At 39.4% G+C, this 27,367-nt stretch overlaps 1 protein-coding gene, 1 long non-coding RNA gene and 1 pseudogene across 26 annotated transcripts in view, besides 4 other annotated features; 2 read left to right on the top strand and 1 right to left on the bottom strand.

The window, feature by feature from the left end:
• The window catches only part of ZGRF1 (zinc finger GRF-type containing 1), a 97,571-nt gene extending 89,305 nt beyond the window's left edge, over nt 1-8,266 (top strand). For 22 of the 25 annotated variants that reach the window (XM_047415917.1, XM_047415914.1, XM_011532092.3 and 19 more), the window contains 5 exons: nt 197-320; nt 6,337-6,513; nt 6,650-6,784; nt 7,481-7,742; nt 7,916-8,266. In XM_047415917.1, the coding sequence (XP_047271873.1) occupies nt 197-320; nt 6,337-6,513; nt 6,650-6,784; nt 7,481-7,742; nt 7,916-8,058 (841 nt within the window). In that variant the 3' untranslated portion in view covers nt 8,059-8,266. Of the gene's footprint in view, nt 1-196; nt 321-6,336; nt 6,514-6,649; nt 6,785-7,480; nt 7,743-7,915 lie in introns of those variants that run through there. The other 3 variants (XR_938764.2, XM_047415921.1, XM_047415920.1) reach the window with 1 other exon arrangement.
• Nucleotides 720-27,367, bottom strand: part of NEUROG2-AS1 (NEUROG2 and ZGRF1 antisense RNA 1) — a 31,507-nt gene continuing 4,859 nt past the window's right edge. The window contains exons 2-4 of the long non-coding RNA NR_161159.1: nt 22,296-22,426; nt 17,105-17,223; nt 720-820 (exon numbers count right to left, since the gene is read on the bottom strand). This is a non-coding gene — a long non-coding RNA (NEUROG2 and ZGRF1 antisense RNA 1). The remainder of the gene's footprint in view (nt 821-17,104; nt 17,224-22,295; nt 22,427-27,367) is intronic.
• RPL23AP94 (ribosomal protein L23a pseudogene 94) lies at nt 16,933-17,234 on the top strand (annotated as a pseudogene).
• Nucleotides 23,442-23,661: a silencer, noted in NCBI's record as "silent region_15642". NCBI's record gives its function as "represses an Ori minimal core promoter by ATAC-STARR-seq in GM12878 lymphoblastoid cells {active_cell/tissue: GM12878}" and the evidence as "EXISTENCE:reporter gene assay evidence [ECO:0000049][PMID:35858748]".
• Nucleotides 24,312-24,431: a silencer, noted in NCBI's record as "silent region_15641". NCBI's record gives its function as "represses an Ori minimal core promoter by ATAC-STARR-seq in GM12878 lymphoblastoid cells {active_cell/tissue: GM12878}" and the evidence as "EXISTENCE:reporter gene assay evidence [ECO:0000049][PMID:35858748]".
• Nucleotides 25,231-26,371: an enhancer, noted in NCBI's record as "VISTA enhancer hs981". NCBI's record gives its function as "enhancer in: hindbrain (rhombencephalon)[5/6] | midbrain (mesencephalon)[5/6] | forebrain[5/6]" and the evidence as "EXISTENCE:transgenic organism evidence [ECO:0001131][PMID:17130149]".
• Nucleotides 25,583-26,282: an enhancer, noted in NCBI's record as "NANOG-H3K4me1 hESC enhancer chr4:113442479-113443178 (GRCh37/hg19 assembly coordinates)". NCBI's record gives its function as "activates a minimal SCP1, AML or CMV promoter by ChIP-STARR-seq in primed H9 embryonic stem cells {active_cell/tissue: H9 hESC(primed)}" and the evidence as "EXISTENCE:reporter gene assay evidence [ECO:0000049][PMID:30033119]".

Genomic DNA, 27,367 nt, shown 5'->3' with positions numbered 1-27,367 from the left:
ATTATATAAAGGATTCTTTATTGCATAACTTTTCAAAGCCTTTAATGCGCTTAATAGCACTACTAAGCTTTATTAGTACTCAGGATACTTCATGGCATTTGAATATTTCGAAGTGCAATTTTGGCAAACAGTGCAATAAATGATGTTAATGCACCCATTTTAATTGCTTAGATTAATTTTTGAAATTCTGTTTTAGGTTTGAGTGTGAAAAGCTGATTCTTGTTGGGGATCCCAAACAGCTACCTCCTACTATTCAGGGTTCTGATGCAGCTCATGAAAATGGATTGGAACAAACTCTTTTTGATCGACTTTGCTTAATGGTACATACTGCTGAATTCTTACGGAATTATCATTTATTGATTCTACATTGTGTGTGTGTGTGTTGATAGAGAATGAAAATATTAGAAGACTTAGTCCTGCCTTAAAATAATGTATAATTGGAGTTGTCTGGAAAGTAAGTATTCATCTTAAAGACAAGTGGAACCCTATAATTTAAGTGCCCTTTTATAAAAAGAATTTTTTCACTATTTGAGTAGTGGGTAGGAGTATATAACTTTTGCTCTAAAACCAAAAAAACCTATAATGTCTCTATTATCTACCTAGAGCACTACTTCACATTGTAAATAATTTTTAAATTATTAACATTTTTTAATTGGGGTTGAATTTACTGTCTTAGTCTATTTTGTGCTGGTATAACAGAAAAACCTGAGACTGGGTAATTTATAGAGAACAGAGATTTATTTCTTATAGTTCTGGAGGCTGAGAAGTCTAAGACCTGGGGACCTGCATTTGGCAGGGGCCTTCTTGCTTCGTTGTCATCCTGTGGTGGAAGGCAGAAGAGCAAGAGAGTGTGAGAGGCCAAACTCATCCTTTTATGAGTAAGCCACTCATGTGATAATGGCATTCATCCATTAACCCACACACATATACCAGGAATGGCATTAATCCATTCACAAATCCATCCTTTTATGAGGAACCCACTCATGTGATAATGGGATTAATCCGTGAGGATTAGGCAGAATCCTCATGACCTAAATCACCTTTTGAAAGTCCCACCTCTCAACACTGTTGCATTGGGGATGAAGTTTCCAACACATGAAATTTGAGGGACACATTCAAACCATTGCATTCATCTAACATAAAACCATTTTTTAAATTTCTTAAAAAAAACTTTTTTTTCTTTACAGCATGCAGTTTATATAGCAGAAACTATTTTAAAGTGAACAGTTTAGTAGCATTTAGTACATTCACAGTTTCTTGTGTAACCACTACCTCTGTCTGGTTTCAAAATGTTTTCATCACTTCAAGATAAAATTCTTACCCATTTAGCAGTTAACTGCCCATTTCCTCTTCCCTATAGCTTCTGGCAAACACCAGCCTGCTTTCTCTCTGTATGGATTTATTTATTCCGGATATTTTATATAAATGGAATCATACAATATGTACCTTTTGTGTCTGTCTTCTTTCACTTTTTGAGGTTCATTCATGTTGCAGCATGTATTGGTACTACATTATTATTATTATTATTATTACTTTAAAGTACATTCATAATGTTGTACAACCATCACTTGTCCATTTCCAGAATTTTTTCATTATCCCAAACAGAAATTTTGAACTGTTAAGCAATAATTTCCCATTTCCTCTTCCCTCAGCCCCTAGTAAGTAACCTGTGTTCTACTTTCTAGCTCTGTGAATTTGCCTATTCTAGGTGCCTCATTTGAGTAGAGTCATACAGTATTTGTCATTTTATGTCTGTCTTATTTACTTAGCATAATGTGTTTAGAGTTCATCCTTGTAGCATGTATCAGAATTTCATTTCTTTATAAGGCTAAATAATATTCCATTGCATGTGTGTACTACATTTCTGTTGATAGATAGTTGGGTTGTTTTCACGTTTTGGCTCTTGTGAAAAATCTCCTGTGAACATTGATATACAGATACTTGTTCAAATCCCTGCTTTCAGTTCAATACATACCCAGAAGTATAATTGTTGAGTCATATGATAATTGTACATTTAAATTTTTGAGGAACCACCAAACTTTTTTCTATAGCAGCGGCGTCATTTTACTTTCCCAACAGCAGTGCACAAGTGTTCTGATTTCTCCACATTCTCACCAACACTTCTTGTTGGTTTTTGAATATCATAGCCATCCTAATGGGTGTGAAGGGGTATCTTATTGTGGTTTCCCTAAAGACTAATGATCTTGAACATCTTTTCATGTGCTTATTAGCCATTTATATTCTTTTTGAAGAAATGCCTATTCAACTCCTTTGCCTATTTTTTAATTGGGTTGTTTGGTTTTTTGTTGTTGAGTTATAGGAGGTTTTTTTTTTTAAATATATTCTGGAAATTAATCCTTTTTCAAATATATGATTTACAATTTTTTTTTCCATTTTGTTGGTTGTCTTTTCACTTTAATAGTGTTTTTTGATGCACAAAAGTTCTTAATTTCGATGAAGTTCAGTTTACCTATTTTTTATTCTGTTGCTTGTGCTTTTGGTGTTATAGGTATGAAATTATTGCCAAATCCAATGTCATGAAAATTTTCCCCAATATTTTCTTCTAAGAATTTTATAATTTTAGCTCTTATGTTGAGGTCTTTGATCCATTTTGAGTTAATTTTTGTACATGGTTTGAGATAAGGGTCCAACTTCATTCTTTTGCATGTGGATATATAGTTTTCCCAATACCATGTGTGGAAAAGACTATCCTTTTCTCCCATGTAATTGTCTTGGAACCCTCATCAAAAATCAGTTGAGCACATGTACAAGGGTTTATTTCTGGACTTTCTATTCTTTTCCATTGGTCATTGGCTTGTAGATGCTACCTTCTTGCTGTGTCCTCACATGGCAGAGAAAGAGAGAACACTGTTTCTATACAAACTATACAACTATATAAACACTATGTTTGTATAGTTGCCATTCTTGTTTCATTTTCTGGTGTTCATGCTTGAATGTCAGATACTCTCTCAGATCTGTATTCTCTGTTTTCTCCGTACCTGGAATTATGGTGGTGTCCCATCAAAGTGACAGGACATCTGAGGCCCAAGAGTATCCCTTCTCTGGGAAAGGGACACAGTTCTTGAGCCTTCAATTCTACTAAAAACTGTCAAGTTCACTTTCCCTTTTTCGTTATTCTTCTTAGGAACCGTTGCCATCATATGAATTCTGGCTCACTATGCTGCATTTTCTACTTCCACCCCAGAATCTTGTTTCTTTCTCAATGACAAGTACTTTTTTAAGTTTATGGCATTGGGTTGGCTGTAAATCTTTCTTTGTTGCATAATTGCTGAATTTTCTTTGCTGTTGTTTTTGTATTTATTGTACCTTTATATATTGGAGAATGGATTCTACAAGGCAGCTTTATTCTACCTTCTTAATTAAGAAGTTCCACCTTAGATTGAGTTTCAAGTTGCATTGAATTTTGAGTTGAATTGTATTCCGTTTTGCAAAGAACGAAGCTTTCAGTTGTCTTGAGCTGTTAATTGTAATTGAATTTAATTGCAAAACTTTCTACTTCTTCTATGACAAGTCAGTATCCAACCTCTTTTGTATTAGACATTTTCAATGGCTTTTTAAAAAAAATCTTAACTAAAAAAAAATTATCTTAAAAAAGGGCTGGGCATGGTGGCTCCAGCCTGTAAATCCCAGCACTTTGGGAGACTGAGGTGGGAGGATCACTTGAGGTCACGAGTTCAACACCAGCTCTGGCACCGGAGCTCTGACCCTGCCTCTACCAAAAAAATTTTTTAAATAAAAAGTTATCTAAATTCTTAAAACATTTTTGAATAGGTAATATAGTCATATGGTTCAAAATTCAAGCGGAACCAAAAAACGTGGAAATAGTGAAGACTTCTCCTCCTGTCCCCCAACCATTCGTTCTCTCCCCTTCAAAGAAACTGTCATTCCTTTCTTGTACCTTTCTTGTGATATTTTATGCCTGTAAGCAAATACATAACATTTTCCCTCCCTGTTTTAACAAATGGTAGTGTACTCTGCACACTGTTCTGCCCTTTTTCATGTACCTATTTTCAATGCCTTTTAAAATATGAAGTAGGTTTTTATTTGGGGGAATTCTAAAAGGGCAAATAAGGGATGGACAAAAAAGTGATTTAGTCGCAGAGTAGAATAAAAAACAATTATGAATGAGCTTGATCCATATAGATAGTTCTCAGAAACATAGTGGATATTGAAAGAAACAAAGCACAAAGGGATAATTATAGTAAAATGCCATTTACGAGAATTTCAAAAGCACATAATATATATTATTCATAGATTCATACTAATACAATAAACATATAAAAACATGTATGATGAGTCCACAAAACAAAATCAGGACTGGGGTTATTTCTGGGAAAGGCGGTAGAAGAAAGCAATGAAGGGGGATCTTTAGCTATATATGTCATATTTTATCTAACAAAAAAGAGAGCCAAAACAAAAATGACTTAATATGGCTAATGTCAAGTCTGGGTGGTAAGTTCATGGATATAATATTGTTTCTTTGCTTTCTGTATATTTGAACTAGTTCACAATTATTAAAAGTAAAAGAAATAAAAGTAATCACTACTCATTATAGAAAGTGTGGAAACTACAGAAAAGAGAAAAGGCAAGCTGGGTGTGATGGCTCATGCCTATAATCTATAATCTCAGCTGCTTGGGAGGCTGAGGTGGGAGGGTCATATGAATCCAGGAGTTCGAGGCTGCAGTGAGTTATGATCTCACCACTGCATTCCAGCCTGGGCAACAGAGCAGGATCCTGACTCTTTGAAACAAGAAAGAAAGAAAGAAAAAGAAAAGAAAAGAAAAAAGAAAGAAGGAAGGAAGGAAGGAAAGAAAGAAAAGGAAAGAAAAGAAAAAAATAGATAAAGTTGGGTGGGGTGTCAGGCACCTGTAGTCCCAGCTACTCAGGAAGCTGAGGCAGAAGGATCGTGTGAGCCCCAGGAGTTTGAGGCCAGCCTAAGCAACAGCGAGACCCTGTCTCAAAAAAGAAAGAAAAAAGGTAAAAACAAAACAAAAACATCTGTAATAACTTCACTGCCCTTAAGAGAAAACTCTTGGTAATATTTTAGTATTTTTCCTTCCATCTTTTATCCTAGGGTTATATGCCTATATCAAATGTATGTATTTGTACATAGTTGAAACCATACCGTAAATATAACTTCTCTCTTGCCTTTTTGAACTTTGCATACTAGTAAATCATCTCCCCTTGTTACTACTAGCTTTGTAATCATTACTGTTGTCATAAATATGTTGATCACTAAGTATTATGTTGTGCAGATATACCATAATTTAGTCATTTCTTTAACATTTGAGCGGCTCACTGCAACCTCTGCCTCCTGGGTTCAAGCGATTTTCCTGCCTCAGCCTCCCAAATAGCTGGGATTACAGGTGCCTGCCACCATGCTTGGCTAATTATTAAATTTTTAGTAGAGACGGGGTTTTACCATGTTTGCCAGGCAGGTCTTGAACTCCTGACCTCAGGTGATCCTCCCACCCTGGCCTCCCAAAGTGTTGGAATTACAGGCGTTGAACCACTGCGCCTGGCGTGAGCATTATTTACTACAGAACTTTTTGCTCGAAGAGCGTTAAAGTAGATAGGACTTGGATTTTATGATGCATTAATAAAATCTGAAACTTCTTTCAAGATTCAGAATGAAAAATGGCTTTTACTCAGTGAGGAAAGTTAACGAGATATTTACGACACCTCCTAATTTTTTAAGAGATGCTTTTCAATTTAGTGTTAGACCAACTCCAGATATATTATAAAAGCATAATGTTGGCCAGGCGTGGTGGCTCACGCCTGTAATCCCAGCACTTTGGGAGGCCAAGGCAGGTGAATCACCTGAGTCAGGAGTTCAAGACCAGCTTGGCCAACATGGGGAAACCCCGTCTCTACAAAAATACAAAAATTAGCCATGCATGATGGTGGGTGCCTGTAATCCCAGCTACTCGGGAGGCTGAGGCAGAAGAATCACTTGAAACCAGGAGGTGGAGGTTGCAGTGAGCCGAGATCATGCCATTGCAATCCAGCCTGGGCGACAGGGTGACTCCATCTCAAAAAAAAAAAAAACAAAACAAAAAACCATAATGTTAGGAGTCAAACTTACTAGATAAGTCTAAGGTTGACGTCTTTTATATTTTCTAATTTTTCTAAATTAATATGAACATATTTTTAGTAATTTAAAAAATATTTTTATTTATAGTCTATTCTATCATGGTTGTAATTCATCTCCTAAGACCATAATATAGCGATATTTTTAATTTTAAAAATATAATTTTCTTTCCCTAGAAGAACAAAAAAATTATGTTTTATTTTTCTTCATTTAAATTTCTTAGGGTCACAAGCCAATTCTATTGAGAACTCAATACCGTTGTCATCCTGCAATCAGTGCTATTGCTAATGATCTGTTTTACAAAGGAGCCCTCATGAATGGTGTAACAGAAATAGAGCGGAGCCCTTTATTGGAATGGCTACCAACCCTGTGTTTTTATAATGTTAAAGGACTAGAACAGGTAAATGACATTAATGTTGATGAGAGTCAACATGGTTTAGGTTCCTGGTTTAATTTTGTTGTTGTTTGTATGATTTTACTTGGTTTTTCCATAGCCTTTCTGGGAAATATAATTTAGGATCTATTTCTTACTCCAGATAGAAAGAGATAACAGCTTTCATAATGTGGCAGAAGCTACGTTTACACTCAAGCTGATTCAATCACTGATTGCAAGTGGAATAGCAGGCTCTATGATTGGTGTGATAACATTATACAAATCCCAGATGTACAAGGTTGGTATTATGTATTACAGTATTTGCCATATATTAAATATTACAATTACATATTACCATATTTGATATTACATTTATAGTAGTTGGTTTGGTGCCTGAAAAACTTTTGGTACTGTAATTAATATATTAAAAAAGAAACATTCTGATTTTTTTCTGGTCTGGCTTTTTTTCTGTATAATTAAATGTAAACCTAACAAGGTTTAATTAAATTTAGTTTACAGCTGTTGCGGCAAAAATGCAAAAAGCAAATTAGAGGGAAGAAAATATGGTGTATGCTTTGTAGACAGATGGGACTGAATCTCTGTTATCCAAAATGTTCTTTTATTATTGGTACATTTTATCAGTAAATCAAGGATAGATACCAAATATTAATGTACACATGAGCCAATTACTTCTAACTAGATTTTTCTCTTAGTATTTTTTATCTGTTTCATTATTAGTTTATCAGCTCCAAATTAGCATATCCAAATGAGTTACCCAGCAATAGATAAATTGCTTTTGATTTTGTGTCATAATTAATATTTTTATCTAGTCATTTATCTATCATTTTAGAAACTAGCCAAGTCTATGTGAGTCATAAAAGAAAAATGAAAATTATTTACTATTAGTTAAATTACAGTGGTTGCTTTGAGCAGGTTCAGAGGCTTAAGTTCTTCACAATCTCTTACTACATGATTGCTGTTTTTTCTTCCACAGCTTTGTCATTTACTCAGTGCTGTGGACTTTCACCATCCTGATATTAAAACTGTGCAGGTGTCCACAGTAGATGCTTTTCAGGGAGCTGAAAAGGAGATCATTATTCTGTCCTGTGTAAGGACAAGACAAGTAGGATTCATTGATTCAGAAAAAAGAATGAATGTTGCATTGACTAGAGGAAAGAGGCATTTGTTGATTGTGGGAAATTTAGCCTGTTTGAGGAAAAATCAACTTTGGGGACGAGTGATCCAACACTGCGAAGGTAAAATAAAAATGGGTTTAATTCATGCATTTCAAGTTCAAACTGACTTTTATGGGTTAATGCTTGGGGTGCTTCAAGCAGGAACAGCTCTGCTGGGGGAAGTAACTGACATGATAATATTGGGACCTCTGTAAAATAAAGAATAGTTGTCTCATGTCGTATGTTTTTTTAAGGAAGGGAAGATGGATTGCAACATGCAAACCAGTATGAACCACAGCTGAACCATCTCCTTAAAGATTATTTTGAAAAACAAGTGGAAGAAAAACAGAAGAAAAAGAGTGAAAAAGAGAAATCTAAAGATAAATCTCATTCATAAAAAGACATGGTGTAAATATTTTGTATTTATGTAAATTCAGACTCATTTTACATGATATATTTTTTATATTTTTATTACTCTAAACCCTCTTATTAAAAATATGATATTTAAATAACATAGTAAACACATGTAAAAATTTTGTTCTTCAAAAAAGTGTACAAAAGGTAGTATAAAATCCTACTAATAAAAATAAGCTTTTTTCTAAGAAGAATGATTTCTGTTTGCCAAAGAAATGAATTTTACAAGGGGCAGGTTATAGAGAATACCTGTATACTTCAATAACAAGTGAATGTCTCCAGAACTCATCTGTTGGAACATATGTACAGAATAAGATATACCAACACCTTTCTAAAGTTTATCAGAATATTTTTTAAATGATTATAAGGCCTCCCTATTTTATAAATGAAAACATATTCACAAATATGTTTTTATGTTTAAAACTTTTGAAAAGTACGCAAAAGAAGAAAGAAAAACACCAAAAGTTTACACCTGGAGATAGCAGTGTTCAACATCTGACCATGGCTAGTGCCTTGCACCCATACCTGATATAGTAGGTGCTTAATAAGTATCCATTGGAAGAATGAACAGATGAATGAAAGATTACCTTTGGTTCATTTTCTTCTAGTTTTTTTCCTCTGCATTTGTTTGCATAGTAGGTATTGATATATATATATATGGATTACAACTTTTTATTATAAAAATAATACATTCTTCATGTAGAAAATTTGCAAAATACAAGGAAGTATACAACAGAAAACAAAAATCACCTAGAAATACAATACCTGGAGATAATCACTAACATATTCCTTTAGTCTTTTTTCTATGTTTATATTCTATGTGTATATATGTAGTTAAGTTTTAAGCCATTTGTGTCCACACTGATTCTTAGACATTATTAACAAAAGAGCGTTTATACATCCTGGATGGAAAAATGACAAGTGCTTGATTATAATTAATATCAATGCAATATTTTTACCAATTAAAAACAAATCTTAGTGACCCAAGTCACTCAATATTCATTTCAAAGATGCAGGAAAATTCTTACTTGAATTATTTCACAATAAAAAGAATATGACTAGTCAGTCTCTATGGAACTCTTAGGGAAAAAAATAAATTCAACAACAAAACTTGTGGTTTAGTAATTCTCCAAGCCTTTTCCCAAATGTGTTACTGCGTGCAACAACAGTTGCTTTTTTAAGTGTTCATCCAAACTGTGAAGTGAAAGATGTGACTTCCAACAGATCCTTACAAAGCAGAGGAATAGTTGAAGGAAGTATTACAGAACCGCGCCTTACCCATGAACTGTACAATCTAACTGACAACATACATTTAAACTGGATTCCTGAGTTTTGCTGCCCAGACCTCCCTATTTTTTATTTCTTAATTTTGGTCTGTTGGCCAGCTGGAGCTAGGTCTCAAGTAATTTATTTTCCCCAGAAAGAGTATATAGATTATATATCTTTTGAGGTTTTGTATATCTGAGGATATATTTCTGTTACATACACTTATGAGAGCTACGTAAACACGATGTAAATTGCCCTTGGCTTCACTTACTGTTCATTTGGATGATAGTTGAACTTCTGTCTCAGATCTACAGCGGGATGGCTGACTGATTTTGCACAATTCCTAGTCTAAATCCTACTAGCTTTTATCTAGAACTGCTCAATCTTCTGCACTTGTGCCTGTGCTGTCATTAATTGCTCCCTTCCCTTCATCTCTCATTTTGTCAGTTTTCCAGAAATTTCCATTTCTACTATGATAATAGGGAGAGGTCTTGATGGTATAGAGTAAGATTTCTCAACTTCGGCATTTTTAACGTTTTTAGACCAGGCAATTCTTTCTTATGGGGGCGCTGTCCTGTGCCCTTTAGCAGCATCACTGGCTTCTGCCCATGAGATGCCAGTGGCACCTTACCCCAAAGTTGTGACAATTAAAAATGGCTCCAGACATTGCCAAATATTCTGATGTAGAGGGTGGGTTCAGCATTCCAGCAATCTCAGAAAGCAGTAACTGCACTTAAAAGTATAGCTGCCTTATTTTTTGGTAGTTATAAATCTTGTATGTTTGATATTTAATAAAGGAGAGAAGGGTCTTTTTTATTTTTAAGCGAGCATGCCTACTCTGTTTCTAATGCCATTATACATGTAGTGTATCAATTTTATATTTTCAATCCAGTTATATCATTGTAGCAGTTCATTACTATTCCTCCCAACTTGTGACAATAGGTCAGCTAGGAGTGTCAAATATTTATCTTATGTGTTTTCGTAGTTATTTTAATGTGACAGAGCCCATTGGAGCCTTTTTATTATTATTATTTATTATTATTATTATTTATTTATTTATTTTTTTGAGACAGAGTCTTGCTCTGTTGCCTGGGCTGGAATGCAGTGGCACGATCTCGGCTTACTGCAACCTCTGCCTCTCAAGTTCAAGTGATTCTTCTGCCTCGGCCTCCCGAGTAGCTGGGATTACAGGTGCCCACCACCATGCCCAACTAATTTTGTACTTTTAGTAGAGACGGGGGGGTTTCACCATGTTGGTCAGGCTGGTCTCGAACTCCTGACGTCAGGTGATCTGCCCACCTCAGCCTCCCAAAGTGCTGGGATTACAGGCATGAGCCACCACGCCTGGGTCCTTTTTAAACAGGAACACATTGAAATCTTTAAAAGAACTTCCCATTCAACAATATTCCTCTTGTTTAGAACATAAGAAGTTAGTATAAATGTTATGGTGTAGAAAGTGGCAAAGAGATTGATAATATACTATTGATAATATACGATGCTACTATTTTTTGCTAAGGGATTAGCTCTATCTTATACATAGCTATTATTTCCCTTTTTCTAATTTATAGCATATTGTAACAGAAAACTAAAACTCAATTAATAGAAAATGTTGATTTTTGCAGAACCATTCTTTCCATTCTTTCTAGCCCACCTGCATAGCTGACTAGATTAAACACTCTTTTACACCAGGCACTTTAGAAAATAAAAAGTAATGGTGGTGCAGGGGAAGAAATGGAAATGGTTTAGTCTCTGTTTCCATGCTGCCCCCATTCTCTTGGTTTAGGACGGAGATTCCCACCTGGGCAAGAAGATGGAGAGGCTTTCTTTCACTCTGGGTGGACCTTACTCCACAGTGGATATGGTATTAATAGTTTTGTCTCTGGTTTTAATCTTTACCATCCTGGATTGGGTCACAGAATGTCATCCCAAAGAGTAATGTCAGCTGCAGCAGGCCTGGTTTATATCTAGGAGTCAGATTTTAGTGCTCTTGCCCCAGCCCCTGTCCATTAGAGCACAGTCTTCACTCTTTCCTTTTTCCCAAGACTTTTACAACAGAAATGGGGTGAGAAGCAGCTCTCACTTTTTTATTTCCTTCAAACACCCAGTAAGGGAGTGGGAGATCGATGAGCTCATCTACTTTATCTTTCTTAAAGAGAATAATAAAACATTCTTCTGATTGGGTGGTGTTGACCATTGAGGAGTTGTCTTTGGCTCCATCATATATTTTGAGTGAAAACATACTATCTGAACCCTGAATATTAATATGGTCTTTATATTTATTTTCAGTAAGAAAAAGATAACAATATTTGACATTAAAAAAAAAAATCCCCAAAGCCCAGGCTAACACATTCTTTATCTTTGTCATCTCAAATTCCAAGGTTGGATAGACATGAATTGAACTTTAAGAAGTATCCTGTTCAATAACAATCAAAATATTAAAATTTCTTAGGATTTTACAATATACTCAATAAGCCAGTTTTACAATTATAGCCATCAAACATCTATACATAACAATAATCTTAAAACAATGTCTCCCAACTCATGTTCAGTAAATGATAGGATTATATAAAAATGTCAAGATTTTAATTTATAGAATAAGTCTATTAGTTTATGTATCACAAATTGAAATAGAATGAAATTTCTAAGCTTTAATCTACTCATCATTAATTGCTTACTTTATATAGTATGTGTGTTGGATTTTTTTATTTTTGAAGATTTTTTCACAAACATCTCATTTACCCCAGTGGGGGGGATAGGTATTTTCCCCATTCTGTACATGATTAAGCCAAGGATCAGAAAAATTGAAGTGATCCACCTAATCTACCATGAGTAGTACCAGGCAGGGCTGGAACCCAAGCTAACCCAACTCTCAGGCTAGGCTATATTGCACCACCTGCATTGTAAGTCACTTTATCAAAGGGTAAAAGACACCGAAACCAAAAATTTTACAGTCCTCTTTGACCCAACTAGACTAATGTCCTGATCATTTACCTTAGTTAATTTAGTATGCAACCATTTATTAACAATTTTTTTTTTTTTTTTTTTTTTTTTTTGAGACAGACGGGGTTTCACCATGTTGGCCAGGCTAGTCTCGAACTCCTGACCTCAGGTGATCCGCCCGCCTTGGCCTCTCAAAGTGCTGGGATTACAGGCATGAGCCACTGTGCCTGGCCTATTTGTTGAACAGTCTATACCTTCCTGGTAAATATAATTTTTACTAGAGAAATGGGTTTGTTGATTTCTCCTTGAATGTCTACATTTGCTACTATAAGATGTAGTTTGCTACTTAATGCAAGAGAAATATTATTAACAAAAATGTATAGCTGAACTGGTGATTCTTAAAATTCTCAAAAGTAGGTGAAAAAATAATATACTTTGCTTTCCTCTGTAGCCAGCTCCTGTCCTTATTCAAAATTTGAATTGTGAAAAATTATAGGTTACTTGAATTTATGAAGCTTAGCTTAAAACTTCAAAATAAAACATAACTTTTGGTATTGCTCTTTCATATTTGAACAAAAAACATTTGATTTGGGATGCCAAAGCAAACCCAAAATGCTGCTTGTTCTTGACTATGGTTTAATTTAAAGACAGCTGTGAAATATCTTTATACTAATTAGATTTGTTTATATTAAATAAGAATGAACTGGAAATTGGTGATTTACTCGACAGATATTGGACCTTGAAAATTAAATAATTGTTCTAAAAACATTAGATCAACACTGATTTGAAATCCCTGGTTTGTAATTAGCCATGAGTGAAATGTGTGTTTAGTTCAAGTTGTGTGTTTGGTTTACATTAGCATGACTTGATTATAAAATAAAGGAAAAATACTATCCAAATATCTCTGCAGTCCTCTAAGTTTCTCTCATTCTGAAACACTAGTTAGGTTGATTTTTAAAAAATTCTCTGTGAGTGTCTGAATTATTGCAAATCTGGTCCTGATAATAAATGGAGATGTATGTGTGCATGCTTGCACGTGTGAAAAATCAGGAAGCAGTCACCTTGCAGGCTAAAGAACTGGTAGAGAAAATTTCCTAAGTGAAAGTTTTAGGGTACCTATGGTAGCCAGCCTCTTTAAAGACAGATATAGTTCATTTCATTGGACAAATTATGATGGATTTGTGGCTTCTTGAAATAGAACTAATTATTTCTGTGGTGCCATTAAAGTCAGTGCATCCATTGAGCATCTGCTCTGTGGCTGGCCCTTTGTGCACAACAGGCATATGCAGCTTGTTTTATGTGTTAGGCCAGGCATGGAGTGCAGAGCTAGTTATGTACCACTCCACCCCGACATGGGGCAAAGTAGAGCTCTCCCTGATGGAAAAACTTAGGGGCATACTCGAAGCAAGAAAATCAGCCTCCTTTGCCCATTCTTTTGGAATATATATTTCTAAATAAGAGCTAACATGACCATGATGCCATCAGGAGCTCGATACTTTGTCTCCTATGTCCTTAGGTTCCTTATATCTAGAGTCAGTGTCAGGCTATGGGGTATGAAGTAGAAGCTAGACCTTTGAAGACTAGGTAGGTCAGAGAGGTAGAAGGATAGTTGTGAATGGAAGGGAGTAACTGGTGGGGAAGACAATATGGTTAACAAATTCTGAGGTGTAAAAAGATCCCACGTCTTTCAGCACAGCTGTGGATGTATGTGTAACCAGCTGACATCTCCCACAGGTTTGTGACTCCTTTTAGGTATTATGAGCCCTATCCAGTGTTGTGAATGGATGATGATGACCTTCCTGAGCAACATGGTAACATCACATAAGAACAAAATTAGAGCATAAGGTAAAGTGTAATGAACAGCAAGCAGTCCAGTGTAATTTGATGAGTCTAGACATTGTTGTATGAGACCAGACGTATGCACTATGTATGTTGCCTAGGCAAGCTGACTGAATATAAGGGACCAAGGACAAAATAGTCAACATATTGGTAAAGGAACCACATACATAACTTTAGCGACAATGGCTCTTCAGAATCATGTTTTGCATTTATAATTTGGGATCAGCACCAGTACAGTAGGTGCTCAGTAAGTGCTTAACTATTGAATGTTATAAAAATCTAGAATGGGCAGGGCATGGTGGCTCATGTGTGTAATCCCAGCACTTTGGGAGGCCAAGGTGGGCAGATCACTTGAGCTCAGGAGTTCAAGACCAGCCTGGCCAACATGGTGAAACCCTGTCTCTACTAAAAATACAAAAATTAGCTGGCTGTGGTGGTGTGTGCTTGTAGTTCTAGCTACTCAGGAGGCTGAGGCAGGAGAATCACTTGAACTCAGGAGGTGAAGGTTGCAGTGAGCCAAGACTGCACCACTGCACTCCAGCCTAGGTGGACAGAGTGAGACTCCATCTTAAAAAAAAAAAAAAAAAAAAAAATTAGCCAGGCGTGGTGGCGTGCACCTGTAGTCCCAGCTATTCAGGAGGCTGAGGTGGGAGGATCACTTGAGCTCAGGAAGTGGAGGCTTTTGGGAGCTGAGATTGCGCCACTGCACTCCAGCCTGGGCACCAGCCAGAGTGAGACTCTGTTTAAAAAAAACAAAAAAACAAAAAAAACCTATTGTGTCCAGATGATCTGTTTTCTTTTGTGTTTTGCATACTTTTAAATATTTTAAAACAAATCAAACTGGGTTTATTTCTTACCTTCTAGTATGTGCTCACATGTATGCCTTATTTTTTCTTTGAGACAGTGTCTCTGTCACCCTGGTTGGAGTGCAGTGGTGCAATCAAACTCCTGGGCTCAAGTGATCTGCCCACGTTGGCCTCCCAAAGTGCTGGGATTAAGGCGTGAGTCACCATGCCTGGTCAGTGCCTAATTTATATGCTTGAAGCATGAATACCTCATTCTGTTTTCCGTTTTTATTCATTATGGCACATCTATTCTCTTTCCCCTTATTTTTGTTTAATTCTACTTATATACTTTTGAATAGATGATAACATTCCCATGGTTTGATATTCAAGAGGAACAAAAGGGAATACAGCAAAAAGTCTCCCCTGCTCTGTGTCCTCCAGCCTCCCAGGTTTCCTCCTCAGAAGCAACCAATGTTATAAGATCCCTGTATTTCCTTGCAGAAATATCTTACTATCATATAGGTAAATGCATATAAATATCTCCCCAGCCACCAGCTTTTATTTTTTTAATTTATTTTGTTTTTTATTTTTTAGATACAGGGTCTTGCTCTGTCCCTCAGGCTGGAGTGCAGTGGCATGATCTTAGCTCACTACAGCCTCAACCTCCTAGCCTCAAGTGATCCTCCCAACTTAGCCTTCCCAGTAGCTAGGATGACAAGTGCATGCCAGGCTAATTTTGTGTGTTTTTTTTTTTTTTTTTTGTATTTTTTTGTTAAGACGGGGTATCACTGTGTTGCCCTTGCTGGGGCTCAAGAGATTCTCTTGCCTCAGCATCATAAATGCTGGGATTATAGGTGTGAGTATGCTAGGTCTCACTTTTTTTTTTAAAGATGGGGCTTCATTTTGTCATCCAGGATGCAGTGCAGTGGCACAAACATAGCTCACTGTAGGCTTTTTGTAGAGAAGAGACCTCACTATGTTGCCCAGGCTAGGCCTGAACTTGTGGCCTTAAGCAAGCCTCCTGCCTTGGTGTCCCAAAGTGCTGGGATTACAGGCATGAGCCACTGTACCCAGCCTGGTCTCCCCCTTTTACATGGTAGACTACTATATAAAAAGTGTTGTATACCTTGCTTTTTTCACTGAACAATATCTATCTTAGAGCTCATTCCATGTTGTCTATACTTAAAAAAAAAAGTCATCTGAGATTTATCATCACCCTAAATTACTCCAACATGCTGCTGACCACGACCTCTCCCTCACTTCTACACACACTTTCTGGCTTCATGAGCTCTCATTTCCTGACTCATTGCTATTCTGACATTCTATCAGTTCCCTTATCTTTTCCTTTCTGTCCAGACATCATCCTGCTTAAGCACTCTCAACTGCCTTGGCAAATTAGTGGCTTGCTGCAGTTTTTTTTCCAGCTAATAAAACTCTGGATTTATTCAAACATCCTTTTCCATTTTCTTACACCTGGGTTTCTGGGTGTTCTAGAGGAAATTATTCTAATGTGCAGATGGGTGCCACAACACATTTATGATAACTGATCTCACATGTCCCATATGCCCAGAAGTTATATGTCCCTAAGCTCTTCAACTCATTGTCTTCAGTCACTCTTCCCACCAGAATGATTTTTCTAACATTGCAAATATGATCACATTAGAATTTTTTTATTGCAGCTCATCACCTCTAATATTGTTTCTCAATATGTGATCATTGGTCTACCTGTGTCAGAACCACTGACTTCAAGGCCATTTATCCTAAGAAATATGTTTTTGTTTTTTAAAAACTACTTGTATTGAAGTACATAAAATATGCGTAATTTAAGTGTACATCTTGATGAATTTTGACAAATGTATGTACACCTTTGTAACCACCATCACAATCGAGAACATTTCCATTACCCGCAAAGTTCCCTTGGGCCCCTTTGGGGTGACTCAGTCTCTCCTCCCCAAGGTAACCATTAATCCACTCTCTCCAGAGACTACTTTTACCTGTGTTAAAACTTCGTATACGTTTTTCACAAGATGGTACCGAATGCGAAGAAGGAAGCTCCTGCCCCACCTAAAGCCGAAGGAAGCTCCCGCCCCTCCTTTTGGCGAAGTCTTTGAAGGCCAAAAGACAGGGCTGAAGGGTGTCCACGGCCACAAAAAAAACACACACAAAAAACAAAAAACAGAAGATCCGTACGTCACCCACCTTGCGGCGGCCCAAGACACTGCGATTCTGGAGGCAGCCCAAATATCCTCGGAAGAACGCCCCCAGGAGAAACAAGCTGGACCACTCTGCTGTCATCAGGTTTCTGCTGACCACTGAGTCTGCCATGAAGACCACATAAGATGTTCACTAGTTTACTTTCTTCTATTACCAAGATTGCCACCTGTGACTATCTAGGAATCAAGGTAATGTTAAGAGAGAGACCAAAAGGAGTTCCTTCTCTCTGTTATTTTTCTTTCTTTTTTTTTTTTTTTCTTTTGAGACGGAGTCTTGCTCTGTCGCCCAGGCTGGAGTGCAGTGGCACGATCTCGGCTCACTGCAAGCTCCACCTCCCAGGTTCACTCCATTCTCCTGCCTCAGCCTCCCGATTAGCTGGGACTACAGGCGCCCGCCAGCACGCCTGGCTAATTTTTTGTATTTTTTTTTAGTAGAGAAGGGGTTCCACTGTGTTAGCCAGGATGGTCTCGATCTCCTGACCTCGTGATCAGGAAGACCTTCGGCCTTCCAAAGCGCTGGGATTACAGGCGTGAGCCCCGCGGCCGGCCCTCTCTGTTATTTTTCATTCGTTTGGGAGTTTGGAGCTTGTTAGATTGAGTTGTGAATGATAGAAAACTCAAAATAACAATGGCCTCAACAAGTAGAAGTTTATTTCTCCCATGCAAATAAGTTGGGAAGTAAACAATGTAGAACTGATATGGTGTCGCTGCTGCACCGTCTCCAGGCTGTCCCCCTCTTCTCACGACCCAAGATGGAGACCCATATATCATATCCATATTCTCAGCAGCAGGGTAAAGGAAAAGCAAGGGAGGAGGGCATGCCCCTACCCTTAAGGACATGAAATTGCATGTGCCACTTCTGTTTGCATCTCATTGGCTAAAATTGGTTGCACTGACCTCTCCTAGCTGCAAGGAAAGTGAGAAATGTAGTCTTTATCTTAGGCAGCCACATGCCCAGCTAAAAATGGGGATCTAACTACCATAAAAAAAGGAGAAAATGGCTAGTTGAACACCACTGGCTGTCTTTTCTGTAGCAGTGTCACATTAAAGACATTCCCATTCAATCTTGTTGGGATATATCTACCTCATTGCATGTCTTGAAGATCTCAGGAGGTGGTGTTCCCATCGTCAGTTCATGGGGTAGGTCCCAACTCTGCTGTGGAGTTTATGAATCTAAGAACAGGCATCTATGGGGACATAGAGATTCTCTGTGCTCACTAATAATGTGAGATTTTAGTGCCCTGTTTACATTTATGTTTCTGATCATGTTGGCTCCGCGGAGTGCTTTAACAGCCAATAAGAAAAAAATGGCAACTTACAATGTACATTATTAGTCAACACTTAATGATAGCCAAATAACACTGTACAAAGATTTCTTGGTGTATCAAAAAAGGTGGATGGGGAGTGGTAGGCATATCACACAATATACCTGGTGCCATACTAAAGGCATCCAAACTTGAAACTTCACAGTGGCAGGTTATATGAAATTTGTGTTGTGTCTTCAGGTGATTTAAAAAAATATATGACATCGGGAAGCGGAGCTTGCAGTGAGCCGAGATTGCGCCACTGCAGTCCGCAGTCCAGCCTGGGCGACAGAGCGAGACTCCGTCTCAAAAAAAAAAAAAAAAAAAAAAAAAAAAAAAAAAATATATATATATATATATATATATATATATGACATCTATCCTGTCAAGTTGATGTTAATTTGGATAGAATTGGCTTTATAGTTGTACTTATATTTATAAATTTTGTGGTTGTCATGGTTATATAAGAGATAAAAACAAGGAGTTTATAGTAAGATTTATATTTGTCCATCTTTAGATAACCTTATAATAACAATAGCACTGTCTGCACTGATGAGGCCACAGGGAATCTTTTCCCTTTCAGAAGGGTCAACACATTCCTCAAGGAAAGGGCACAAGCCTGAAATTGTCAAGTCTGGGTATACAGTGTGACAGGCCTAGACTGCAGTTGTGATCTGGGTGATCTTAGACAAGTTTCCTCATTTGTGAAAATGGTAATGACAATAATGTCCTCATTGGGATTTGTGTGAAAACAAAATTAAATAATATATTCAAGGTTGGCAGGTGGTACAGTGGCTGGCTCATTGTAGGTTTGCTTCCCCTCTTCAAGAAGCAGTCCCTATATCCTCCAAATTTTCAAAAGGTATAAGCTGCAAATAAACATCTAAAAAAGTGCTCCAGAAAAACACTGAATCCTTTGGTCACCCAATGCAACCTAAAAATATGGAGAAAGACTAAGTAGAGAAAAAACTGCAAAAGAAATCATTCCTTTAGAGGATAACTTTGTCAAGAACACTCTTGTCAAGAGCACTGACACAGCCTTGCCATAGCCATAGACTATACACTGTCCAATAAGGAGGAGGAGGAAAAAGTGATGGTCTTCATCTCTATGAATGCTATCTTGACCTAACTTTTAACTTGGTTCTCCACACTGATTAAATTACCTGGGCGAGTAAAGAAAAATCACTTTGTGTTCTGCAGATACGTATCTTCTTAAATATCAAATTAAAGAGAAATTCCAATGCCAGCAAGTTGTGACTGAAATAACTATCTAGATATTCTTTCTTGGCCAAATACTTGGAACCAAGAGATTACTACTGAATTCTTAGGAGGCTGTATCCATATGTTTCTTATTATTACTTTAAAAATTCTATGTGGTTTATTTCACCTCTATTTTATTAGGGAGAAAAAAGCACTTTGAATTTTTGGGATGAGAGGGAAGGAAAAGGCTTTTAATTTATTTTTGAGATGGAGTCTCACTCTGCCACCCAGCTGGAGTGCAGTGGCATGATCTTGGCTCACTGCAACCTGGCCACCTTCCAGGTTCAAGAGATCCTCCTGCCTCAGCCCCCCGAGTAGCTGGGATTACAGGCAAGAGCCACTACGTCCAGCTAATTTTTGTATTTTCAGTAGAGATGGGGTTTCACCATGTTGGCCAGGCAGGTCTCAAACTCCTGACCTCAAGTGATCCACCTGCCTCAGCCTCCCAAAGTGCTGGGATTACAGGTGTGAGCCACTGCACCCGGCCGGAAAAGGCTTTTATTTCAATGAGGCACTACTCCTTTTTCAGAAACAGTCCCTCTGTGTTGCTCAGGCCATAGTGCAGTTGCACCATCTGGTTCAGTGCATCCAGGAACTCTTGGATTCAATTAATCTTCCTGCTTCTGCCTCCCAAAGTGCTAAGATTGTAGGCATGAGCCACTATGCCCAGCTGGAAACACAACATTCTTGATGCCAATTTTATAAGACACTGAGAGCCAAAGGAAGACTCAGAGAAGAAATCAAAATACCATGTGACTTTTTGGGTGGCCAGAAATTTATCTTAAGAAACAACACGCTGAAACCTAATACAATTTCCTTAAACCTCTGATCATTTGTTTTCTGAGAATATTGTTGGTCTCAAATCCAATGTAACTCAAATTATTTGAAGTATAAGAATAAGACTAGGCCGGGTGTGATGGCTCATGCCTGTAATCCCAACACTTTGGGAGGCTGAGGTGGACAGATCTCTTGAGCTCACGAGTTTGAGACCAGCTTGGACAGCATGGCAAGACCCCGTCTCTGCAAAAAATACAAAAATTAGCTGGGCATGGTGGCACACTCCTGTAGTCCCAGCTACTCAAGAGGCTAAGGTGAGAGGATCACCTGAGCCAGGGAAGTCGAGGCTGCAGTGAGTGAGCCGTGATCATGCCATTGCACTCCAGCCTGTATGACAGAAGCGAGACCCTGTCTCAAATAAAGAAAGAAAGAACTCACCAAATTCATGCAGATAATAAAATTATAATTTTCTCCACCTTTTAGTGGCATATTAGAATCTCCCCAGCTGGGAAATTTGAAAAAGAAACAAAACAAGGTGAAAGCTGTCTTCTACTTAGGATATTAATAGGGTTTGGGTTTCGGTTAATATTGACATAGAGTTTTATTTTTTATTTCTAGTCTATTTTGTTTTTACAAAATTTCTTAGTAGACTTTTACCATATAGCCTTAGAAAGGTATCTTGATTTTTCTGTACATTATTGTATTGTGAGATTAATCTTTTTCTTCCTTCAAGAGAAAATGAAGCCTCAAATCCTCAAAAATAAAAACCCTGGAGAAAAAGAGAATTTGCTGAGAAGAATGCCATTATCCTCTTGCAAATCCTTTCCTTTCTCTTATTCTCAGTCCTGCTGTCTCATGCACCCAACAATAATACAACATAGTTTCAGCGTGGTGACTGGTGCTATAAAAATGCAGTTAAATAGAAACCCACAGTTGTGTCCTTCAGGATAAAGATGGCTTCTGTCACAGAGAAAGCCAAAAGCCTAACAACATAGGAAAGCAAAACTCAGAATCAAGTATTTTCTGAATCCTGATTATTTTTAAAACAGTAGCCATAGATGCTATATTTCCAAGCACAAAATGAAAAAGGAAAGTTTTTAATTATGGCTGAGGGCAGGTCAAGAAGAAACACATTTAAGAAAGATTAGACACAAAGAATTTCCCGCTGGCAAGTGTTATTAAATAAAGGAATGTATTACTTTGAGACTTTTTTTTTTTTTTTTTAATCTGGCTGGGCACAGAGGATCATGCCTGTAATCCCAGCACTTTGGGAAGCTGAAGCAGACAGATCACTTGAGCCCAAGAGTTCGAGTCCAGCCTGGACAACATGGTGAAACCCCGTCTCTACTAAAAATACAAAAATTAGCAGGGTGTGGTGGTGCTGTCTGTAGTTACAGCTACTCTGGAGGCTGAGGTGGGAGAATCGCTTGAACCTGGAAGGAGGAAGTTGCATTGAGTGGGATGATGCCACTGCACTCCAGCCTGGGTGACAGAGCAAGACCCTGTCTCAAAAAACAAAAACAAACAAACAAAAAAAATCAAGTATTTCTTTAGAAATCCACCAGAACCCTATGATGAGGTCTCATCTCTCTGAAAAGTTATGTGATCCAGCATTGAGGAGCTTTCCTTTCTCTGTCCAGCCCCAGGAATTTTGATTTAACAAGAATACTGAAATTGCAATGTATGTTCCTCTTCTCTACAACAGTGTTTCCATTGATAGTTCAAGAATGAGTTTTAAACGTTTGTCTTAAAATTACAGTATCCCATGTCAGTGCAAATGGCTCAACTCCTGGGGCCTTAATTTTAACTGTGGATGAGTTCTACGATATAACTTACCCCACTTCAGACATCTCTGAACTGAAATTTCCTTCCAATGTTTGACAGAGACTACAAAAGAAAAGGCATTCTCCAGAAGGCTGGCATTTTAAAAAATAACAACTTCTGATTATGAATGTTCCAGTATTTACCTAGAAAACACAGAGATAAAAACTTAACTTACCACTACTCAATGGAAAAAAAACCACTATGAATATATTTTTCACTCTAGGATGTATGAGCTTATATGTCTGTCCAATCATTTAGATACAAATATCTATAAACTGGGGTCATACTAAACATTATGAGATTAAAAAATTAAATATCCATCAGAAATATAATTTTAATGTCTGCATGACATTTTGTTATTGTAGCAATTATATGTAAATACATTTACTACCAAAATTTTGTAGTAAACTATTGTATAATGTATTATTAGTCTCTACTGTTGATAAATGTGGGCAACTTAAATTCGTTCCAATTAACAGGTAAAGTGGTAAAATGGTAAGTCCTTAAGTTACCTTAGATCCTTGGGAAAGCACAGTAATTTGTTGACGAAGTTAAGGACAAGTAAAGTCAAGTGGGAAACAGATGAAAATGGCGAGCGGAAATAGAAGTTTGGGTGTCTGGACCCATGAACTAAGGCCTAAGGCAAATGATGCTGAACGCCTCTCTGTCCCCGCCCAACGTTTTACACTCGGGACATCTAGCTAAAAATGAACATCAAATACCAATTCGGATGATAATTAAAATGTACTGGGGGAACGACAAGCAGTCTGGAGAATGAATCTGAACGTGGCTCTGGGTGCGTAAAGAAAACATCTGTACAGACATGATATAATACACAAAGTCTGTACCCACTCAGTGCATCTGAGTCCTTTTGAGCCTGGAGACCAAGTCCTTTTCCCCAGCCTATTGGGTCTTGGCGTCACTTCTAGCTGATTTGCTAAATCCTCAAAACAAAAGAAAACGAAACCCGTGGGGCTTAAATCCGGTTGTTCTTAAACTTGGCAACTATCAGAACCCTAGGGGAGGTGTTTTGTGTTTGTTTCTTTCGGCTTTTGAAACTGCAGGTGAGGACGTGGCTGGGCACTGTGCGTTTGTAACCTGAGCCGCAGGTGAAGCTTCCCAGAGGGCGTCCCCGGACCGACCTCGAGGAGACCCCAAATCCACTGTCCCCCGGTGGCCGGCTGTCTTGGGAGCTCCCCCGCGGCCCCGAAGCCCCGCGGTGCTCTCAGGATACCCCCTCGACCTCCGTGCCCCACCAGGGGGCGCCCCGACTTCGCAGCGCGCCCGCCGTGAATCGGCTGCCCTCGGGCGGGCCCGGCCCTCCAGGACCAGAGCGCGTCCTGAAAACGCTCAGGTGCGGCAGGAAGGGAGTGTAACCCCGAGAGGGGCAGCAGGCTGTAGGGGGCGCCTCCTGCACACCTGTCAGCGCTCCGGCTCCCTCGGACACCGCTCTCGCAAAAGATCTTGTTTTGTGTTTTGTTTTAAAAGTCTTCTCCGCCCCCATACTGCTTGAAGGCGTAAATGAGGGAGGGGTGGGAGGGGTGGAAGGGGGAAACGGAGAAAAGAGACGCTGGCGGACTGAATACCTTCTTTAAATTACTGCTGACACCTCGGTTCCAGGCCCCTAAAATCTCAATCAACAATCTATTAGAACTCAACAGGAGTAAAACTAAATCCTCGTTTAAGTGTATTTATCCGATCTCCTTTCTCTCTTTCAAATGCTAAATCCATTTCAGCATATGCCCCCTTCTTTCTCTCGCCTTTCTCTCAAGATTGGCAGCCCATACCACTCTTGTAAATATGAAAGATGCTAATCATATGACATATCACGTCTCCGTCGGAGCCGGAATAAAGCCTTCAGATTTGGGATCATTGCCTCCAGACAACAGCTTCATCAGCCGGAAAGTTGGTTTTTTTTCTCCTTTCCTTCAACCCTCAATCCCTTCTTTGTCTGGAGGAAAATGCAGCCGACTCGAGCCACCCAGGCCATATGGTTCACTCTGTATTTTCTTAGTTGAATTCTGAATTGTTTCTGTGACTTGCGAAGTTTTTTTGGAAGTGCGTGTAAAGACATAGAAGAACTACTTGCGCAGGGAGCGCTGCCCGGGCGCACCGCGGCCGCCCCCTCCCGGCCTGGAGACCCGGCCCTGGCTCCTCCGCCGAGAGCTGTACTAGCAACTGCGTTATCGCAGGGTCGTTTCTACCAGGCAGGCCACAGCTGTCTGGTTCGCGCCTGGTGCTAACGCTGCGCCTCGCTAGGCGCCTGGCACTCGGTAGGCGCTCGAGAAATACTTCGGGGGGAAAGAAAGAATGGATAAATCAGCAATAAGTGTCAACCCCCAATGTTTTAGATTCTAAAGTATATCTTTAGATCCCTGAAAATAAACCATACCCCCGTCTCCCAACACTATTGCATTACACAGTTTTATTGTTACATACACGTATCCTTTTCTGATATATAAAACAATTTTTTTCTGTAGACACGGTCTCACTCTATTGCCCAGGCTGGAGTGCAGTGGTGCGATCTCGTCTCATTGCAACCTCCCGTTTCCGGGCTCAAGTGATTCTCCCACCTCAGCCTCCCGAGTAGCTGGGATTACAGGCACGTACCACCAAGCCTGGCTAATTTTTTTTTTTTTTTTTTTTTTTTGAGACACAGATTTGCCCTGTTGCCTAGGCTGGTCTCAAACTCCTGAGCTCAAGCGATCTCGGCCTCCCAACGCGCTGGGATTACAGGCATGAGCCACCGCGTGCCCGACCACTAAAACGATTTTTAATACCTTTTGAATGTAAGCTCTGTGGGGGTAGGAATGTGCGTCTTGTGCGTCGGTGTTTCCTGGGCCTAGTACAGTGTTTGACATACACTGGGTGTTCATTAAGTGTAGTTTGAATGTAGGAAGGAGAAATGATTCAATGAATCAATTAAAGTAATAAACTGATATCCTTTTCCCAAAAGGTACAGATTAAGGAAGAGTCTCTGCTAAAGATTCGAACTTATTTACCTCAACATCACCCTTTTAATTTGTATCAGCAACAATAAACGATACATTTATTTCCAGAAGAGAATTAAGTTTTGTTTTGTTTGTTTTGGGTATTTTTTTTTCCTTAGTGGGGAAAGGAGAGGGAAAATCAGCTTTCAAGATCTTTATCCATTTCTCAAAGTTCTGTGTTTTCCAGGTTAGGGACGGTCCCTGCGAGGGAGCAGGCTGCCAAATTTCCTTTCTCTCTGTCTAACTCCTTACACAAATCCCAAAGGGCCCTTTCACCAAATCATTAAATTCTACAGAGGTGGTCAAGCTCGCACTGCTTTTCATGAAACGCAGAAAGAAAAGGGTCCTTGAAGTTTAGAAGATGCCCAAGGAAAACTCCTTGAATGACATCAAAAGAATGAGTTTCCATAGCTGTTGAAGCACGAGGGCAGTGTATCCGCACAAAGGGGGATCGGGGCACTGGGACGGGCCCACCGCTCTGTCCCAGGACAATTGGGTCACTGAAATAGGGAATTAATTACCATTGGAGAGTGGGCAGCCCATTCACCACTGGCTGAGTTTTATTAAACGCCAATATAAATAACAAAACAACTCTTGTGGCTGCACTATTCCTACACGCCAAAGGAAGGATTATGCTGGGGATTAACATCTTAAAGTCTATGAGACTTTCTGACTCAAGGCTCGGAGCTGGTAATCGTGTTTGTCTCCTGGTTCAGCGATTAGTGCTCTCTTTCTTGCACTTTCCCCTGGATAGCCAATGTCCCTTTTTGCAGGCACCGAAGGGTGGGGAAGAGGTTCTCTCCCTAGTGGGCCCTCAGCTCTCCATTCACGCGCTGGCTGTTCTTTTCCCCTTACCTGAAGAAAACAATCAGAAAGCTGGCATGGATTGGCAAAATCTCCTACGGTAATTTCTTTCCTTCGTGGGAAAGAAGAGGGACATTTGGGTAGCGGGTTGCCTCAGGGATAAGAAGTCTGCGGAGCTTTGCCTTCCCCAGAGCAGGTGGGGATAGGGTATAGCGTCTGCGAAGAAGGAAGTGAGCCTCCTAGCACCTGCGGGGCCGATTCCGCGCTAGCAAGCTGACTGACCTTGTGTGTCAAGCCGAATCCCGGAATGTTTGGCTTGGAGGCACCAGAGCACGTCGTGCGGGCTTGGGGCCAGGGTCTCTAGAGTGGGGCTTGGGGCCTGGGGGATGATCTTCCCTGCCTTCTGTCTGCTGTGGTGGATGCCGATTCCTCGGACGCGATGAAAATACTGAAGGGGAGGGGCTGGCGCAGTGAAGCGCAGTTCAGTGACCTGGCCGGGACCTCTCCAGGGCTAGGTTCAAGCCGAATCCTCCCCGGACAGGATTCAAGGGGAAAACGTGGGGGAGACCGAGAATACCATGTGGGATGCAGTAACTGGGGATCGGGGCGAATTTACATTGTTTTCTCCTTGGCTTCCTTGGCTCCCGGATAGGGGACCGTCAGAAACTCCGAATTCACACTCATTCCCAGCGCTCACCACTATCAATAACGAATCCTAGCGTTGCAAGGGGTGCTCTGCGGAGAAAGCTAATTGTTTCCATACCAGGCTCTCCTGCTCTGGAAGCTGCGTTTCTAGCCTGCAGCGAAGAACTAGAGACCGTTGATGTAAAAGATGTTTAGGATTTACCAACTTTTTCCCGCCATCTTTCCATCTTTCTGAGAACTCACTCGGAGGATTAGGATTTGGGTTACAAAGCCCCCTTGTCAGGTACTTCATCTTGTTATTTTAGCAGAGAGTAGACACGCCATCTCCTTTGGCCGACGGTGGTTTACTGTGAATTGGGGGACAGGCTCGCTGGATAGCCAAACCTTGGCTTTTGTCCTCTCAGGGAAGGGCGCCCTCTTTCGCGCCCCCGACAGTCACCTGCAACAGCAAGGGACTAGCGCGGCGACCATTTGTCCTCTTTCGCAACTTGTGAGGTCGAAGTGTGGAGGGAATGTAGCCTATGGCTCCACAGCAACACCTACCCTAAACTTTAGGGCTTTTGGGTCGTCTCAAAGTTCAAGCTTCTTAGAAGCAACAAAGACTTTCTAAAGATCCCCACCCTCTCACCCCTCCCCTTACTCCAC

The sequence above is a fragment of the Homo sapiens genome, chromosome 4, assembly GCF_000001405.40.
Source record: "Homo sapiens chromosome 4, GRCh38.p14 Primary Assembly".
NCBI lineage: Eukaryota > Metazoa > Chordata > Mammalia > Primates > Hominidae > Homo > Homo sapiens.
This window is presented reverse-complemented; position numbering and strand designations above follow the sequence as displayed.